General features: G+C 35.0%; 1 protein-coding gene across 6 annotated transcripts in view; it reads right to left on the bottom strand.

The window, feature by feature from the left end:
- FSIP2 (fibrous sheath interacting protein 2) overlaps positions 1 to 20,273 on the bottom strand; it is a 96,157-nt gene that overhangs the window by 2,367 nt on the left and 73,517 nt on the right. For 4 of the 6 annotated variants that reach the window (XM_047444333.1, XM_047444329.1, XM_047444331.1 and 1 more), the window contains exons 18-21: positions 16,882 to 17,379; positions 15,453 to 15,553; positions 6,444 to 6,490; positions 2,725 to 2,768 (exon numbers count right to left, since the gene is read on the bottom strand). In XM_047444333.1, coding sequence (XP_047300289.1) covers positions 2,725 to 2,768; positions 6,444 to 6,490; positions 15,453 to 15,553; positions 16,882 to 17,379 — 690 coding nt within the window. Of the gene's footprint in view, positions 1 to 2,724; positions 2,769 to 6,443; positions 6,491 to 15,452; positions 15,554 to 16,881; positions 17,380 to 17,559; positions 17,726 to 20,273 lie in introns of those variants that run through there. The other 2 variants (XM_047444336.1, XM_047444335.1) reach the window with 2 other exon arrangements.

Here is a 20,273-nt window from a genome sequence, read left to right as displayed (position 1 = left end):
ATCCATGAAACTTTTTTTAAAAGTATGGATCCCTGAGGCCCATAACAAGTGTAGGACAGACATTAATGTATATTTTTTAAATGCCTCACAAAACTCTAATGTGAGAGAATTAGGACTGAGAATCCTTCATCTAAAAGGAGATGAGTAGACATACAGTTGGCCTTCTCTCTCTGTGGGTTGTGTATCCATAAGTTTAACCAACCAGAGATCAAAAATATATGAAAAATAATGGATGGTTGCATGTATACCGAACATGTATAGACTTATTGTTCTTGTCATTATTCCATAAATAATACAGCATAAGAACTATTTACATAATATTTACATTGTGCTAGTTATGATAAGTAATCTAGAAATAATTTAAAATATATGGGAGGATGTGTGTAGGTTATATGCAAATATTACACCATTTTATATAAAGACCTTGAGCACCCCTGAATTTTGATATCTTTGGGGATTCCTGGAACCAATCCCCTACAGCTATCAGGGGATGACAGTACTTAAGTTATGTGAAAACATGTATCTGTTTGTTAGACACAAGAGTTCTTGCCCTTACTTAATGGAGCATTGTTAAAATCATGACTTTAAAGTTTTTATCTAAAAATGTCAAAACCTTGGCTATGTCAGAGTTGGCATCTTTTGACCTTTTCCTTGAAAGCTGTAGATATTGTCTTTGTTCTTTGTATGTTGAGTCATTTTGGAATGTATCCTACACATTTTATATAGGTAGTCAGATATTTGGTCCTTTCAAAATCCTGTAGAGAACATTGATTTTTTTCGTTTGTTTGTTTGTTTTTGGTAGGTAATTGACTCATTATGTTCAAATCATACATCCTACCCTGCCTCTCATGGCTATGGTTTCAATTTAATTTCTGTTTTTAAAATTTTTGTAGTGTTCAGTATCCTTATGTGTGCACTACTATTAAGAATGCAGTTCAGGTTCTCAAAGACTTTTGTCTATGTAACTTCAGGTCAGTTCCAAATATGTACAACTCAGAGGGGACAGTATAAACAGATTTTTGAGGTTCCTCTTTCTGTGATTTTCCTCAATGCCTAACTCTCATTAGCCCCCTTTTCTAGTTCTATGGCTAAAATGCTGTGGCTTTAGCCTCTGTGTGTGTGCTGTTTCTAGTTTATGTCTGCATCTACCACTAAGAGTAAAGTGACAAAAGAAAGCAGAGAAAAGCACAACCAGTTCAATCAATAATCCTCAGTCTACTGAGGACCCTTTCCCTATTGGTCAGAGAAGAATTTTCTTTCAGAGTTTTAGGTGGTAACTCTGCTGCTACTGCCATGCAGCTTCATGAGGGCACCTTGCCTTGAGGCAGGGCCAAGGAGGGAGAAAAAGTGGGGATTCTCCCCAGATTCTCCATCTCACAGGAATCTCCTAACCGGTCAGAAAACAATGGTTTCTCTAGGAGCTATGTTCTATCCAGTTGATCTATGTAATGCCAGGATTTGAGTTTTCCTGAGTCTAAGCCAGAGGATATGCAAATAAAATAAGAAAACCCAGGAAACTCACAATGGCATTGGCCATTCTTTGAGTTTTGATTCCCCTGCCCTAACTCTTGTTATTTATTTTTCAGAATCCTCAGTAGTTACCCACAGTGTTTAGTTGTAATCAGTGAGAGAGATAAGATGGAGCCTGCCTACTCCACCTTATTTGAAACTGGATTAGATAACAACTTTAACCATAATTTTACCATGGAAAAGGTAGCAAAGAGGGAAAGAACAAAAGCAGAAGGAGTCCAGATTAGCCAGAAATTCCACTTGACACACTGAGTGTCAATAGGTTCTTAGATTAGAGCTTCAGCATTTCCCTTCTGTTGCCATATAATTTTACTGTTTGTAAAGTGTGGCCAAAGTGGAGCCTGAGGTAGTTAAACAAATACTTATATTCATAAATGAGGATTAGGTTGAGTGGGTGACAAATCCATTATCTTTGAACATTTAAAAAATATATCTTAAGTGTAAGTTATAAGATTTTAAAAGTTGGTTCTGAAAATCGTACTATATTGTGATACTGAGAAGTAACTCCATAACTGATAGCTTATGTTGTATGTGGGGGTGGAAGGACCCACTCGAAGGGTGTTTAAGCTGAACCAAGAAAGAAACAATCTGATTAAAAAACACAGACGAAGATGTGTAGCTTCATTTCTCATTGGAAACTTTATAAGAAAGATTTATAAAGAGGAAATTTTCTTGGCTCACACTGGGGAGTAGGTGGGCTTTTTGGAAAGCTGCCGGTAAAGAAGTAATGTTTAGGAATACAGAAAAACAGAATTAGCACTCACATCCTGCAAGCCATGCACCTCCCATGTTTGAAGCTTCTGTTTTCTCCCCACCTCCCCACGTTGCTCACTTGAGTCTACTCATCCTAGGTAGGGCCAAGTAATTCACTCCCTCTAGTGTTTTTCTGGAGATTGTAGTAACAGAGCTAATAAACAGAATTGTACTTAGATGCTAGGGAGAACGAGTATATTACTTTGTGCCCCTAAACAAGGAATGCTGACTTAACCCAAAGGATTTTGTTAACATATTTTAATATACCAGGGACAGGCCTCAGCTAGGAAGAGGGAACAGGGTGTAAGAAATTGTGAATAGGAGAATGCTTTCTGATATCCTTCAAATCATACCACACAGTCCCTGACTGAACTATGAAAACTGAGTTGTTCTGAACTAGCTCCTAATATATATCAACTAAGGCTAGTTAAAAATACTTACCTTAACACTGTTTCCATGCTCTGGCTTTTGTTCCTGAGAACTTTCTGTAGAGATTAAAAAAAAAAAAGTAAAATAGTCTCTTTCTGAGGCATGTATATTTGTTGACACAAATCTGATCATATTATTTATTTTTCACCAAAGAATCATATAGTTTAGGCAGGTCGAAGAAGTTGTTATTTTAAATGTATAAGCAATTGGGAACAACACTGAAATAAGTGAGAGCCCTAGAATATTGGGACGTCTTAGCCCTTCAGTTAGAAATTTAGAAATTATGACAGATGAAATGTAACATAGTGGGAGAGGCAAGCTCTGTAACTTAGTAGCTATACATCTATGCACAACCATTCATTCCCTATAAGCCTGTTTGTTTACCTGTACAATGAGGGATTACTCTATAGATGATTCTTAATAGCCCTTCCAGCTCTACCACTTTCTTTACATGCCTACTTAAAAGCAGCTTATTAGAATAAAGAGGAGAGTACTGGTATTATTAAATAGTAACTTCTGGGAGAATCAGGAGAGCTTTGAGGCAATGCTCAGAGGATATTTGGTGGAGTCTACAGAACCAAAAGTTGTCTGAATTCCAGGGGAGGTCAGTGTATTCGTGAAATAAATTCAGGCAAGGAGGTAGAAATGACACTGTGAGAGAAGCTTCACAAGAACCCACTGCAAGGGAAGCAGCTAATCTGCTAAGAAGGCAGAAACCCTGTATTTACATCTTAGCTTCATTGCTTAAAGCTGTGTGAACATTGAACATCTAACTTCTCTGACTCTGTTTTCTCATGCATAGTATAGGAATGAGACTGTCTTCCTTGGCTATTTCTCAAGATATCATATAAGAAAAAACTATGCATTTTATATAGCTACACTCATCAAGAACCAACACAAGCAATAACTATATAAAGTACCCTTTGGGCCAATATGGGTTCTAAAAAAAAGTAATAGTAAAATCTCAATCAGCTCAAATATGAGAAGTGATTAAAGTAACTGACAAAATTGGTAAGATTTCATTGTTGGCTGATAATATTCCTAAAAAGCGCCTAAATCTATATTGCACATAATTTGACATACTTTATTTTAAATGATTGAGGACATTTGGGTTTACTACAAGGGCAATGATTCCAAACACAAGTTTTTAAGTTTCTAGGGTATATGTGCATCCAACTCCCCAGAAAAACTAGGAAGTTGTTTTGATGAAGAGGCACAGAAAAATTCCTGATATTTATGGTGCCCAGATTTTTGGATTTAAGTTACTTGAGATTTTATTGTATATATGAACTAGGAATGAATATATCTGGCCTTGATCTTTCCATTGAATTTCAGACTTAAATATCCAATTGCTTACGTGACATCTCAACTTGAATGTCTAAAGGACACCTCAATCTCAACATAACCAAAAAAGAATTCTTGTGCTCCTCCTTCACCTTTGGTTGCTCCAATAGTCTCTCCTATCTCATTAATCCCTGTATCTACTATAAACAAAATAGTGTTTTAGGCTCTTGGTGATATAGCTGTTAACAGACATAAATCTCCACCTTTATGAAGCTTACATTCTAGAGAGACAGTCAAAAAAACAGTTAAAATACACAGTATAACAGAAAGTTTTATCCAGTAAAGCAAAGAACTGGGATAGGTAGCGTCCTGATCAGAATTAAGTTGCAACTTCAGAGTGTGGCCAGTGAAGACCTCACTGAGAAGGTGACATTTGAGCCAAGATCTGAAAGTAAGGAATGAACAATGCAGATATAGGGGAAAGAGTACAGGAGGATCAGCAAATCCAAGGGCCATTAATGTATAAAATGTTTGAGGAACAGCAAGGAGGTTAGTGTGATTGGAATGGATTGAGCCAGAAAGAAATAGAGGAGTACCTTAGAGAGGAAGTAGGATGTTAGGATGATGCCCAGATGATTTAGGGTTTTGTAAGCCATTGTGATGACTTGAGATTTGGTTCTAAATGAGATGGGAAGTACAGCCATGCTTTGCTTAACAAGGTTACATTCTGAGAAATGCCTCATTAAGTGATTCCATCATTGTGTGAACATCATAGGATGTACTTACACAAACCTCAATGGTATAACCTACTACACACCTAAGCTATATGTTATGTTTTATGTATGTCTTTTAGGCTACAAGCCTGTACAGAATGTTATGACACTGTATACTGGAGGCAACTCTAACACAATGGTAAGTATTCGTGTATCTTAACATAGATAAAGTACAGTAGAAATACAGTATTATAATCATATGGGACCACTATTTTATACTGGTCCATCATTGACCAAAACATCATTATGTGACACATGACTTTACTTATCAATGTCTGGAATTATCTTGTTTAAGTCCTTACCCTTGGGATGGGACTTCCTACTCTGAGTTAAAGTGTAAATTCTGTGAGAGCAAAAACTTTGTCAGTCTTGTTCAGACATGGGATCTCAGGATACAAAGAAAACACTCAGCAAATCTTTGGATGAATGAGTAAGCAAATGATTCAGTTGAACACCTGTGATATTACTAAAAGATATAAGAACTAAGCAAGATCACCAAAATTAAGTTGGATAAAGCATATTAAAACACTGAATTTAGAGGCAGGAGATGTGGGATGCAGATGGAACTTTTGTTTTTATGTAGAGTCACAGGGTACATGTGCAGGAGTATTACATGGATATATTGCATAATGGTGAGGTTTGGACTTCTAGTGTACCTATCACCCAAATAGTGAATATTATACCCAATAGGTAATTTTTCAGTGCTCACCTCCCTCCTCCCTTCTGGTGTCCCATGTCTGTTACATTGGTCTGTACTGGACTCTGTTTTTGACTCAGAGGAATGTTGGATGGGTCACTGCCTTACCCTCAGCTTGAGTTTCCTCATCTATAAAATGAGTATGGTTGTATGAAACGGTTTCTGTTGGCATCTAACAAAGTATAATTCCACAATTCAGACATTATAGGAGTGGTTTTTGTGAAACCTATGATATGTTCACAGAATTCTGGCATACTTAATGCTATTTTATGGATTATCTTGATAAAAATGATTTTCACTCTCAAATTGGGAGAATATGTTTGTTGAATTGGTTGCATGTTTGAAATAGTCATGATAAACTTGTGGTTTGACTTTTAATGTGACTTTATAGTAAACATGACACTCTACCTCTTATATATGCTATCATTGTTAGAACCACATCGATCCTCCCTCTAAGGTCTTGACAGTTAGAGAACCTAAAAGTCATTACAAATTTTCTAAGGAGCCAGGACTATTAGAGATTGAATAAACAAAACAAAAAATATATAGAAAAATGAAAAAAAGTGAGATACATCCTAGGCCGATTTTAATATGAGGGAATAAATTTAGCTTTAAAAAGAGGCATAATCCTTCAAAGAAATAATTAAATCCTAGTAGCATGGGTTCTGGCTCAGATATAAACTGCTGTTACAATACACTCTATTTTGTAGATATTTCACAGGAGTATGGTAAATGTGAATTCATATCAAACCATATACTTGATACCACAATCAGTGATGAAATCTTAATGGCAGTTTAGGCAAGGCTAAGTATTTGACTCATTTTAACACCTGAATGAGGTAATACTGGATCATTTTCAAAAGTAGATAAACTCATAGAAAACATAAAACCTGTATTAACTTCAAGTTTGATAACTAAAAAAAAAACACATCAAAGTAGTAAAAAATACTCTCTAATTTAAGAAAAAGGAGTCCAACCTTCTAATATTTTAGCACTTGGGTCTGAGTGACAATCTTCAGCCTCACTAAAACAAAAGAAAAAGAACATCATTTAGGGTGAATTTGATAAATGAAGAAGTTACTGGTTAAGCAAAAGAACAGTTATTCTCCATATGGAAAGAAACCTGAAATAGTATACTATTCACTGAGATTCCAAATCACATAAAAATGATTTCTGATTGACTTTTTCCCCTACTTTTAAAATTGTGGTTATACATACATTAAATTTACAATTTTAACCATTTTAAGTGTACAGTTCTGTAGCATTAAGTACATTTGCAGTGTTGTGCAACCATCACTACCATCCAGCTCCAGAACTTTTTTCATCTTTCCCAACTGAAACTGTATACCAATTAAACATTAAAGCCTAATTTCCCTCTCTCCCCATCCCCTGGGAACCACTATTCTAGTTTCTGTCTCTATGATTTTGACTATCCTAGGGACTTCATATGAGAATCATGAAATATTTGGCCTTTTTTGCTGACGTATACCAATTAGCAAAACATCTTTCAAAGTTCATACATCTAGTAGTATGTGTCATAATATCCTTCCTTTTTTAAGGCTGAATAACATTCCATTGAATATTTATAACACATTTTGCTTGTTTATATTTATTCATCTATCGATGGACATTGGGATTGCTTCCATCATTTGTCTATGGTGAATAATGGTGTACAAATATCTGTTTCAGTCCCTGCTTTTAATTATTTTGAATATGTACACAGAAGTAGAATTGCTTGATCATAGGGTAAGTCTATGTTTAATTTTTGAGAAACCCCCAATACTGTTTTCCACAATGTCTGCACTATTGAAGTTCCCACCATTGATGCACAAGGGTTTCAATTCTTGACATCCCTACCAGTACTTGTTTTCTTTTTCTTTACTTCTTTTTTCCCTCCTTCCTTCTGTCCCTCCCTCCCTTCTTTAGTTATCTTAATGTGTTGAAAGTGGCATCTTGTGATTGTGATTTGCATTTCCCTAATGATTAGGGAAATGATTGAAAATCATTTTATGTGCCTGTTAGCCATTTGTATATTTTCTTAGAGAACTGCCTATTCAAGTCCTTTGCACATTTTTAATTGGGTTGTTTTATCATTGTTGAGTCATAAGAATTATTTACATATTCTGAATATTAATTATTTACTAGATGTATAATTTGCAAATATTTTCTCCCATTCCATGGGTTGACTTTTCACTTTGTTGATGGCGTCCTTTGAAGCACAAAATTTTTAATTATAATGAAGCACAATATATCTATTTTTCTTTTCTTGCTTGTGCTTTGGTATCATAACAACAAGAACAAAAAAAATTTTTAAATCCAATGTCAAGAAGCCTTTTTCCCATGTCTTCCAACAAAAGTTTTTTTAGTTCTTATGTTTAGATCTCTGACTCATTTTGAGTTAATTTTTGTATATGGTGTAAGGTAAGGGTTCACCTTCATTTTTGTTTGTTTTTTGCATGTGAGTATCTATTCCCATCACCACTTGTGGAAAAGGCCATCCCTTCCCTCATTAAATGGTCTTGGTACCCTTGGTAAAAATCATTTGATCATGTATGGAAGAGTTTATCTCTGGGCTCTTTATTCCATGTCTTTGCTTTATAAGTCTGTCTTTATATCAGTATCACACTGTTTGATTACGGTAGCTTTGTAGTAAGATTTGAAATCAGTAAATAAGACATCTGCATTTTTATTCTATTTTAAGATTGTTTTCCTATTAAGAGTCTCTTGAGAAACTAATGAACTTTAGGATAAATTTTCTATTTCTGCAAAAAAAAATTATTGGTATTTTGATAAGGATTCCATTGATTCTATGAATTACTTTGAGTAGAATTAACATTTTAATAATATTAAGTCTTCCAATCTATAAACATGAGGTGTCTTTCTACTTTTTTGCATTCTCTTTAATTTCTTACAGCAATATTTTGTAGCTGACAAAGTACAAGTCTTTCAATTCCTTGGTTAAATGTATTCCTAAGTATTTTATTCTGTTTGTTATTAATGTAAGTGGATTTTCCCCTTAATTGTTTTTAGATTGTTCAGTGTAATTATACAGAATGCAGCTTATTTTTCTGTGTTGATTTTATGTCTGGCAACTTTGCTGAATTAATTCATTAGTTATAACAATTTTTTTGGTGTTCTTCAGGGGTTTCTACATTATGACCATGTCATCTATAAACAACAATTTTTCTACTCATCCAATTAGAATGCCTTTCCCCCTTTTTCTTGCCTAATTTTTCTGACTAGCATTTTCAGTACTATGTTAAATAGAAGTGGCAAAAGTAGTCATTGTTTTTTTGTTTGTCCCTGATCTCAGAGGAAATACTTCATTTCTTCACCACTGAGGACAATGTTAGCTGTAGATGTTTCATATATGACCTTAACAATGTTGAGGTAATTTCCTTCTCTTCCTGCTCTGCTGAGTCCTTTTATCCATGTAAACTATTTAACTTTCGTCAAATGGTTTTCCTGCATCATTTGAGACAGATCATTCTGTTAATGTGATGTATTACATCGATTTTTTTTTTTTTTTTTTGAGATAGGGTCTCATTCTGTCACCCAGGCTGGAGCGAAGTGGTGTGATCACAGCTCACTGCAGCCTCAACTTCCTGTGCTCAATAAATCCACCTGCCTCAGCCTCCTTAGTAGCTGGGACCATAGGTGCACACCACCATGTCTGGCTATTTTTTGTATTTTTTTTGGAGAGATGGGGTTTTGCCATGTTGCCCAGGCTGGTCTCAAATTGTCGGGCTTGAGAAGTCTGCCCATCTTAACCTCTCAAAGTGCTGGGATTACAGGCATGAGTCACTGTGCCTGGCCTATTGATTGATTTTTGTATGTTGAAACTTGCTTGCATTCCCGGGATAAAACCGACTTGGTCATGATCTATAAACCTTTTAATATACTGATGAATTTGGTTAGCTAATATCTTGTTGAAGGTTTTTGCATCAATATTCATCAGTAATATTGTTCTGTAGTGTTTTCTTGCAGTCTTTGGTCTTGGTAATAATGTAATGCTGGCATCATGGCTTTGGAAGTGTTTCCTCTTTTCAGTTTTTTGGAAAAGTCTGAGGGGGGTTAGTGTTAATTCTTTGAAATTTGTGACATCCACCAATGAAAGTATCTGGTCATAAGCTTTTATTTGTTAGGAGGTTTTTCAGTTATTGGTTCAATTTCTTTACTGTTTCTAAATTTGTTCACTATAGTTTAGCATAATTCAGTCTTGACAAGCTGTGTATTTCTAGGAATTTATCCATTTCATCTAGATTATCCAATTTGTTGACATACAATTATTCATAGTACCCTCTTATAATCCTTTTTATTTCTATAAACTCAGTTGCTATTTTACCTCTTTCATTTATGATTTTAGCTGAGTCTTTCTTTCCTTAGGCAATCTAGCTAAAGACTTGTCAATTTCGTTGATTTTTTTTTTTTTTTTTTTTTTTTTTTTTAACGAACCAACTCTTGGTTTTCTTGATTTTCTCTACTGTTTTTATTCTCTATTTTATTCCTGGTCTAATCTTTATTATTTCCTTCTACTTAATACCTTTCAGTTTGTTCTTTCTCTAGTTCCCTAAGGTGTAAAGTTAAGTTGTTGGTATAAGATCTTTCTTATTTATTAATGAATAATTTACAACTATAAATTTTACTCTTAACATTGTTTTTGTTGTATCCCTTAAGTTTTGGGAAGTTTGGTAAGTTCCCTCATTATTTCTTCTTTGACCCATAAGTTGATAGTATATTGTTTAATTTTCACATATTTGAGGGTGTTTTTGTTTTTCCTTCTGCTATTGATTTCTAGTTTTATCCCATTGTAATTTGAAAATATATTTTGTATATATTCAGACTTTTAAAATTTATTAAGACTCATTTTGTGGCCTAAGATATAATTTATCCTGGGGAGTGTGCTATGTGCATTTGAGAAAACTGTGTATTTTGCTATTGTTTTATATATGTATATATAAAACAATATATGTATATAAATTATAGATAGATAGGTTAAATAAATCTATAGTTTTATTCACATCTATATTAGTCTGTTCTCATGCTGCTATAAAGGTCTGCCTGAGACTGGGTAATTTATAAAGGAAAGAGGTTTAATTGAGTCACAGTTCTGTATACCTAGGGAGACCTCAGGAAACTTACAATCATGGTGGAGGGAAAGCAAACATATCCTTCTTCACCAGGTGGCAGGAAGGAGAAGTGCCAAGCAAAAGGGGGAAAAGCTCCTTACAGAACAATCAGATCTCATGAGAACTCACTCACTATCATGAGAAAAGCAGCATAGGAGTAATCACCCCAATGATTCAATTACCTTCCACCTGGTCCTTCTCACGACATGTGGGGATTATGGGAAGAACAATTGAAGATGAGATTTGGGTGGGGACATAGCCAAACCATATCAACATCCTCTATTTCCCAATTTTGTTTAGTTGTCTCTCCATGATTGAAAATGGCATACTGAAGTCATTTACTATTATTGTAGAGCTGTTTATTTCCTCTTCAATCTGTTAGTATTTATTTAATATATTTTGGAGCTCTGATGTTTGGTGCATGCAGATGTTCCTCAATTTACAATGGGGTTACGTCTCAAGAAACCCATTTTAAATGGAAAATATCATACATTGAAAATGCATTTAACACATCTAACCTACCAAACATCATAACTTAGCCTAGCCTACCTTAAATGTGCTCAGAACACATACACTAGCCTACAGTTTGGCAAAATCATCTAACACAAAGTATTAAAAATATCATATAATATATTGAATATGGTACTGAATGTGTATTGCTTTCACACTGTCATAAAGTTAAAAAAATTGTAAGTCAAATTTTCATTAAGCTGCAGACCATTTGTATATGTTTTTAATTATTATCTCTTCCTGGTAAATTGATGCCGTTATCATCATACAATGTCATTTTTTCCCCTCTCTTTTGGTTTCTGTTTACATGGGGTATATTTTTCCATTCTTTCACTTTCAACCTACATGTATTCTTAGATCTAAAGTGAATATCTTATGGATAACATACAGTTGGATTCTGCTTTTAAAATCCATTTTGTCATTCTATCTCTTTTGATTAAAGTGTTTAACCCATTTATACTTTAAGTAATTAGTAATAGAGAAGAACGTTCTTTTGCCATTTTGTTGTTTTCTGCATCTTACAGTTGTTTTGTCCTTCATTTCTTCCATTACTGTCTTCCTTTGTATTTAGTTGAACTTTTTAGTGACACATTTTGATTCAGTTCTCATTTCCTTTATGCATATTTTAGGAATATTTTCTTTGTGCTTACTACAAGGATTATGTGACTCTAATTTTTAACTGATACCAAGTAAACTTAACTGCATACAAAAACTCTACTTTTTAACACATTTGCCCCCTACCCATTTTATGTTATTGAGGTTCCAAAATTATATCTTTTTACATTCTGTATCCATTAGCATAAATTTATTATCTGTTTCATGCATTTGTCTTTTAAATCCTTTAGAAAATAAAAAGTGGATATATGAGCTAAATTATGATAATACTATTTTTTATATTTGTTAATGTATTTACATTTGTTAAAATTTACATAATTTCATATGGCTCTGAGTTACTGTCTAGCATCATTTCATTTTTCTTTTTAACTTGAAGAACTTTCTTTAGCATTTCTTGTCAGGTAGATCTAGTGTTAATGAACTCCCTCAGCCTTTCCTTGTCTTGGAATGTCTTAATTTCGCCTCATTTTTGAAGAACATTTTTTGCTGGATGTAGAATTCTTGTTTGACAGTATTTGTTTTTCTTTCAGTCCTTTAAATATATCATCTCACTGCCTCTTGGCTTGTAAGGTTACTAATGAGAAAATCACTAATAATATTATGAGGGTTATTTGTACATGATGAATCACTTTCCTTCTTCTACTTTAAAGATTATCTTTGTCTTCTGACAGTTTGATTATTATGTGTCTTGATATGATATTTTTGTGTTCATTCTGCTTGAAGTTTGTCAAGCTTCTTTTATTTGTGTATGTATTTCTTCAAATTTAGGAAGTTTCAGCCCTTGTTTCCTCAAATAATCTATCTGTTTCTTTCTCAATTTCTTCTTCTGGAATTTACATAAGGTGTATATTGTTCTGCCTGATGGTGTTTCAAAAATCCCTTAGGCATTGCTTACTTTTTTTTCAATCTTTTTTCCTTTTGGTCTTTAGACTTGGCAACTTCAAATGACTTGCATTCAAGTTCACTGATTGTTTCTTCTGTCTCTCCAAGTTTGCTATTGAACTTCTCCAATGAATTTTTCAATTCAGTTGTTATATTTTTCAGCTCCAGAATTAATTTTTAATTTTTATGAGCACATAATACTTGCACATTTGTATGGGTTACATGTGATGTTTTGATACAGGCATGCAAGTGTGATTATCAAGTCAGGGTAATTGGGGTATCCATCACCTCAAGCATTTATTACTTTTTGTGTTGTGTGTTAAGGATAGTCCAATTCTTCTCTTTTAGTTATTTCGGCATATACAATAAATTATTGTTAACTCTAGTTGCCCTAATATGCTACCAAAAGCAGAATTACTGTTTGGTTCTTTTTTATAATTTTTCTGTTAATATTTTAATTTTGTTCATACGTATTTTTACTAATTTCCTTAGTTCTTTGTCTACCTACAATTCTTGAACATATTTTAGATAGTTGTCTTAAAGTCTTTGCCATGTAGGTCCAACTGATGTGCTTCTTCAGGAACATTTTCTGGGTATTTTATTATTTCCATTTCATTTTCCCCATTTTTTGTATGCTTAGTAATCTTTTGTTCAAATGTGAGTATTTGAAATAATAAAGAAGCCACCTCTTCCAGTTTTTGCTGATTGATGTGGAAAATATTTACTAATTAATGAGACTTTGAGCCTTGGAAACAGTCCGAAGTGAAGATTTAGGTTTTTTTCAGATCTTTTCTGAGCATGTAGTTTTCAAGCCTGTGTTTGTGCTTCCCCAAACTCAGTTTTTCTGAGCTGCTTTTTAAATGATTTAATTTCCCAAAGAGTCACTTCCTGCTCCTTCTTCAGAACTTAGATATTCTGCTGTTGTATCTCTCTCTTCCCATAATTTCTGCCGAAGGTGTTTATGGTTCTGCAGTCCCTCTGTAGTTTTCATGCATTATGGCACCTATCCACTACTTTCTGTGGTTTCCAGGCTTAGAACCAAACTATAACACCATTGCCTATCTGAGTTCCTAGTCAGGTGAAACAAAAATAATTTCTTAAGAAAGCCCATAGATAGGTCAGAACAAGATCTACTCTGCTCTTTCCACCAAAGGGAGGAAACTGTAAATTGGGCTCCTTTCTCTTAACTGTGTTATACTATGCTGGGAGGAAGTTGGATCCAAGAGCAAGTTAAACTTCACAGATTTTTTTTAACTATTTTGAATGTGTTTTTTCCCTTTCTGTCTCCCTTGCTCCTTCCCTTTCTTCACCCCTCTCTCCCTCCCCTTCTTCCCTTCCTTTTCTTTTTTTCTTTCCTTCTTCCTTTTGTTTCTCTCTCTTCTCTCTCTTTCTCATTTACTCTTTTTTCTTTCTCTCTCTTTTCTTTCTCTTTCTTTCGTCTTCTCTCTCTCTCTCTCTCTCTCTCTGTCTCAGAGTTTCGCTCTGTTACCTAGGCTAAAGTGCAGTGGCAAAATCATAGCTCACTGTAACTTTGAACTCCTGAGCTCAAGCAATTCTATCACCTCAGCCTCCTGAGTAGCTAGGACTAGGTGCACATGACCATTCCAGCTAATTTTTTATTATTTTATTTTATTTTATTTTATTTTAGTAGAGTTAGGGTCTTGCTATGTCGCCCAAGCTGGCTTCAAACTCCTGGCCTCAAGCAATCTTCATGCCTCTGCCTCCCAAAGTGGTGGGATTACAGACGTGAGCCATCATGAGCAGCCAGCTTTTTCTTGATTGAATATTCATTTGGTTGCTGCAGACCGTTGTCCAGAGCTGTTATAAAATTGTGTTAGTCAGATTGTAGTTGCTTATGTTTTGTTTCCATGGGGAAATCAGAACCTTGAGCTTCCTGGTATTATCTTGCTCTAAAATCATTTTTATTTAGTATTATTTATGCCTGCTTTTTACTTCACTAATATAACCAATAAAGAGGTTCCAACATTACTAGCTATGTATGTTAAAATAACCTATTATGTAGGAGAAAAGAGACAATGGTGGGCCAAAAACAGATATCCCAAAATAAGGCCATGTCAAAAAAAAAATGCAATTCCAGCATGCTGAATGAAAAAAAAAAAATCACTAGATTTTTCTGTGTATAACATGAGTACTTCTCCCCAAATAAAAAATGTTATCTCTTCCAAGTTGTGTATAATTTTATAAATGCAAGCACAAATTTAGATGTTTTCACTATTCTTGATAGAGTTATGAATCAGATTTCAAGTCTACAGTGCACTTTGTTCCTCTTTGTCCCCTATAACTGTTATAGCCCATACTTTGCCCCTAGTGTCATCCAAACTTGGATTGTCTTTCACTTGTGTATCCTATCCATTCTTAAAGAGCCATGTCAAACTCCATTGCTTTCTACCATTTATCTCTGAATGCTAAAACTTATATTTCTTTCTCATTCCTTTGGATTCTTCTTATAGGCAATGACAGTAGCTTTCTTAAGAGAGCTAAGCATGAACACTTTTGTACTGATACTGCATATTTCATTTCTGGGCCATTACCTCTCTCTCTCAGGTTAGAAAATACCCTAATACATTAGCAAATACTTTATATAAGACACTGATACACTAGAAACTGGTTTGAAAACTAGGACATAGAGGCCAGGTATCTAAAAATAAAGGAACAGATAGCAAGAAGTGGCTTTGGAATTATTCACAGTAGGGTGCCACTGAAGGGAAGAAGTTGGGGAAGGTCTGAAGCTAAATACTTGCTCAATTACAGTTTTGCCAGGGGCCCCATTCTACTCATAAGCTCTACTTTATCAGATTTCTATATTTCTACTGCTTTAATTTCATATACCCAGTAGATGAAATGAGATCTTCTTGGTTGTATGAAGATGAACTCATAATTCTGTGTATGAAGTAATGTGTTGGTTCAGTAACAAGATTCTTTTCTTCTTTCTGGAAAAGGACAAATCAGCTATTACACTAAATGGAGTTTGGGATATATTTTCTTACCTTATGGCATTTTTTGCAGTATAATCTACATTTTAATGGAAAAAAGTTCCAGAGATTAGTTAAAAGATGGGTGTGGGCCCTATAATTCTAATTAAAAGGTGTCTTCCAATATAATTAACTTGAAATAGTTCAGTGAAGATTACCTAAATTATGACATTAGATTTTGAACAAATTTTAAACATAAACCTGGAACAATGTTTAAAGAGTCGAATTTTCTTCTAAACTTTAAAAATATTTGAAATCATATATTACTGAGGGCAAAAAGAGGAAGAACACAGATACAACTCTGGTCAATTAGGTACCTTGCCAGGTCAATCATCTTAACACATACTTTGATCTATTTGTTGCAAACTCATGTGTGCTTCTGAATTGACCAGAGTTATATTTATGCTATTTTCTATGGTTCATCTAAGCTTTTGTGTTAACCTCGGAATCACATCAAATGGATAATCAAGAGAATGGCCTCATCAGAAAATTAAAAGTTGTATATTCTCCAAAAACATGTTATGGTATGGAATTTCATGTATCCAGTAGATGAAAATAATTAAAATTAATTCTAAAATTAATTAGAATTACAGGGCTCATCCATCTTTTGACTAATCTCTGAAACTTTTTTCCATTAAAATGTAGATTATACTGCAGGACCAAACTCAAAAGGTCATTGAGACCCAGACCATCATTTGAGAATTTGGAGCCATCAACAAGAGATGTTTACCATGCTGACAGCAGAGTTTATGGGCTAATTGTAAGGGTGATATTTAAAATATATGAATTAACTTGTTAAGGTTGGATAAGCTGGTTATATAACTTACCAAAAGGTCAGCTAGCTACTGAGAGTTAGGATTCAAACCCAAACAATCTGAATTTCCGTGGATCTTATTTTGTTCCTCCTACCTCAGCCAGTCTTCTGGTGCTATTCTAGTAGCATTAGGCTCTCCACACAAAATGTTCAATGAGTGTTTACCAGCCAAAATACAAAAGGGTGGAAACCAACTGTTTTTAATAATTAGCTTACATTTTTCTTAACTGGTTTCCATTTTCTCTTTTCTTTGGGATTCTAATTAATCTAGTTTTTCCCCTATTACCTGCTTTCCCACAGTTGAGTTTCATAGCTGTACCTGGTAATAATTTCCCTTATCCTGTAAATATCACCAGGCTTGAGATTGAATTCATTTTAGCATTCTTTTCTGACTAATCAAGGTACATTCTTGGGCCAGATTTGTGAAGATGTCTCCCCTTTCTAGTCACTAACAGTCATGCTTATCACTTACCTTACACTGGGGCTTTTCCTCCCAAGATGAAGAGGCTGTTTCAGGCATCGTCTTTGGTGTGGCCATGTCAAGCTCAGCAACAGCTCTTTTAACATGTGTCTCCTTGGATTCTATTACCTGATTTGAGATTGCTTCAGTACTTTCAATATTTGCACTGGCTGTGGTCTGACAACATTTACTTAGTGACAAAAATTTTTTCAGGCTGCTCGTGCTTAGTGTTGACTTAGGAGAAAGTTTGCTTTGTATTGGCTTCTTGACTTCTTTCACTTGATCTTCAAATACTTTGATGCCTTCTTCTTTTGCAAAAGTCTGTGTTAAAACAACTTCATCTTCATCAGAATCTCGTTCCTCTTTTATGTAATTTTCCAAATACACTTGATCAATATCATGAGCTACTAATCGAACAATAAGATCATTTTTACTTTGAACATCTTTTAAGAGCTCCACCTTTGTAATATCAGGCTTTCTTATATTCTGAAATGAATTTCTAGCAACGGCCTGAAATTAAAGGTATAGCAAATATTAAAATCAAATGCCTAAATCACTTTCCTATAGTTCAATTATGATGTAGCTATTTTCTTATAATTTCTAGTTTTGATTTAAGTAATATCTTCAAATATCACTTAATTATATATTAGCAATATTTTTAAAAGAAATAAAGACAAATAACAAAAAAAATTTGTTGGCATGCATTTTTTTACATTTATTACATACCTTAATCTAATATAACTTAGTCCAAAAGTCAGAGCAAGGTTTAGCATAATTAATTTAATTACTTCCTCTTAGTCATGTACCTTGAAAGTTTTGTGACAGAAGTAGACAGGATAACCTATTTTCCAAAATCCTAGGTAAGGAATTATAGAGAAATCTAAATACACATATTTTCAAGAAAAAAGGGCAACATATTCACTGATCTTGATTTTCAAAAGTAATGAATACCCCAAATAATGGTTTTAAAATCTTTACTCCCTATTCCTCCACTTTTGATCTTTTGGTCATATTTCCCAAAAGATTCTTCAAAATATAAATCTTCATGTCTTCTCACTTCCTAAGTTAAATCTCAGTTTCCAATGTCAATGTTAAAGACAGATCAAAGAAAAGACAATTATAATTAAATAACAGAATTTCCCCATTTCTCTAGCTTTTGACCACGTCACAGAATCTCAAAATTAAGTTAATAATCTTAGCTCTCAGCCTCCCTTTGTAATATCATAAACCAGTTTTTCAGATAATGGTGCCTCAAAGGAATATCTGCAATAACAAAATATCAGAAGAACCTCTTTAAAATTTTTTAAAAATAAATTTTGATTATCTGTGCTATTGGAGGAAAACAGTGGTTTAGAAAATCCAAAATCATTTTATATTTTGGGATATGTTACTACCAGTGGTTTTAGTATGCATATGTCTAGTGTGTTAAGAATCTATGGTACCTTAAAACAGAGAATTAAGTCTTGAGGCAGAACCAACAAGAGTGTAGGGTTTCTAACCTAACCTTTCTTTCTCTTCACTGCTGTGTCCTTTTGTTGAAGATAGATAATATTGGTAGCCCGATTGGTGCCAATCACATGCCTTAACTGAGTTCCACATGTCTGCTTCTTTATTGTTTTATTTTTAGGATGGCTTATTTTTAGGATACAATGGAGGTACAGGCATTGGGCAAACATTCATGTTTGAAACGGGAGAAATTGGCCTGACAGAAGGGGCTACAGGCCTCAAACAAGTCCAAAACCCAGTAGTGCAATCATTATATCTTAAAGCTCCAAAATAATTTCCTTAGACTGTATGTCCCACATCTAGGGCACAGTGATGGAAGGGGTGGGGCTCTCAAGGCCTTGGGCAGTCCTGCCCCTGTGGTTTTTGCAGCACTGGTGGATACTCTTAGAGGTTGCTGAGTGCCTGAGGCTTTTCCACGCTGAGGGTGTAGGATGCAAGTGGATCTACCATTCTGAGGTCTGCAGAATGCAGACTTTCTTCCAACAACTGCACTAAGCAGTGCCCCAGTGGAGACTCTGTGTGGGATCTCCAACCTTAACATGCCCCCTCTGTATTTACCGGTAGAAGTTCTCTGTAAGGGCTCCACTCCTGCAGCAGGCTTCTGCCTGGGCATGCAGGTTTTTCCATACACCCTCTGAAATCTAGGCAGAGGCTGAGAAGTCTCATTTGCTCTTTAACTCTGTGTGCCTATAGGCTTAACACCACATAGAAACCACCAAGGCTATGCTTTGCAGCCCAAGCTGTAACTGGGCCCCTTTGAGCCACAGCTAGAAAAGTTGCGGTGGGAATGTGAGGAATGTTATTCTGAGTCTGCGGAGCCCATGAAACCATTCTTTGCTCCTAGGCCTCTAGAACTGAAATCAAACAGAGTGCAGTGAGGGTCTCTGAAATGCTTTTGAAGCCTTTTCTCCATTGTCTTGAACATTAGCTCTTAGATCTCTTTCAGTTTTGGAACTTTCTCTAAGAACTGGTAGTTTTACATCCATCTTGAATTTCTCTCAAAAAACAAACAAACAAACAAACAAACAACCTTTTTTTTTTCTTTGCCACATGGCCAGGTTGATTTTTTTTTTTTTTTTTGAGGTGGAGTCTCGCTTTGTCACCCAGGCTGGAGAGCAGTGGCATGATCTTGGCTCACTGCAACCTCTGCCTCCCAGGTTCAAGTGATTCTCATGCCTCAGCCTCCGAAGTAGCTGGGACTACAAGCGTGTGCCATCATGCCCAGCTAATTTTTGTATTTTTAGTGGAGATGGAGTTGGAGATCATGTTGGCCAGACTGGTCTCAAACTCCTGACCTCAAGTGACCCACCCATCTTGGCCTCCCAAAGTGCTGGGATTACAAGTGTGAGCCACCATGCTCAGCTAATTTTCCAAACTTTTATGCTCTGCTTCTCTTTGAAATATAAATTCCAAATTTAAGTCATTTCTTTCCTCCTGCATCTGAGAATAGGCTGTTAGAAGCATCTGAGAATAGGCTGTCAAGATGTCACATCTTGAATGTTTCATTTATGAGAAATTTCTTCTGCCAGCTATCCTAGGTCATCACTCACATGTTCAAACTCCACAGAACTCTAGGGCATGGACACAATGCAGCCAAGTTTTTGGTAAGGCATAACAAAAGTGACCTTTGCTCTAGTTCCCAGTAAATTCCTCATTTCCATCTGAGACCTCATCAGCCTGGCCTTCATAGTCCATATTACCATTGTCCATCAGCCTTTTAGTCACAACCATTTAACCAATCTCTAAGAAGTTCCAAACTCTCCTTAATCTTCCTATCTTCTTCTGAGCCTTCTAAACTCTTCTAGCCTCTGTCCACAAAAAAGAGGCTCTGTCTTCAGCCTCTGTGTGGAACTGGTGTCTTCCAGCACTAGTTCCAAAGGTGCTTCCGTATTTTCAGG

This window comes from Homo sapiens, chromosome 2 (assembly GCF_000001405.40).
Source record: "Homo sapiens chromosome 2, GRCh38.p14 Primary Assembly".
NCBI classification, from domain to species: Eukaryota; Metazoa; Chordata; class Mammalia; order Primates; family Hominidae; genus Homo; species Homo sapiens.
The sequence above is the reverse complement of the archived record's forward strand: the minus strand, read 5'-3'. Positions and strand labels throughout refer to the sequence as shown.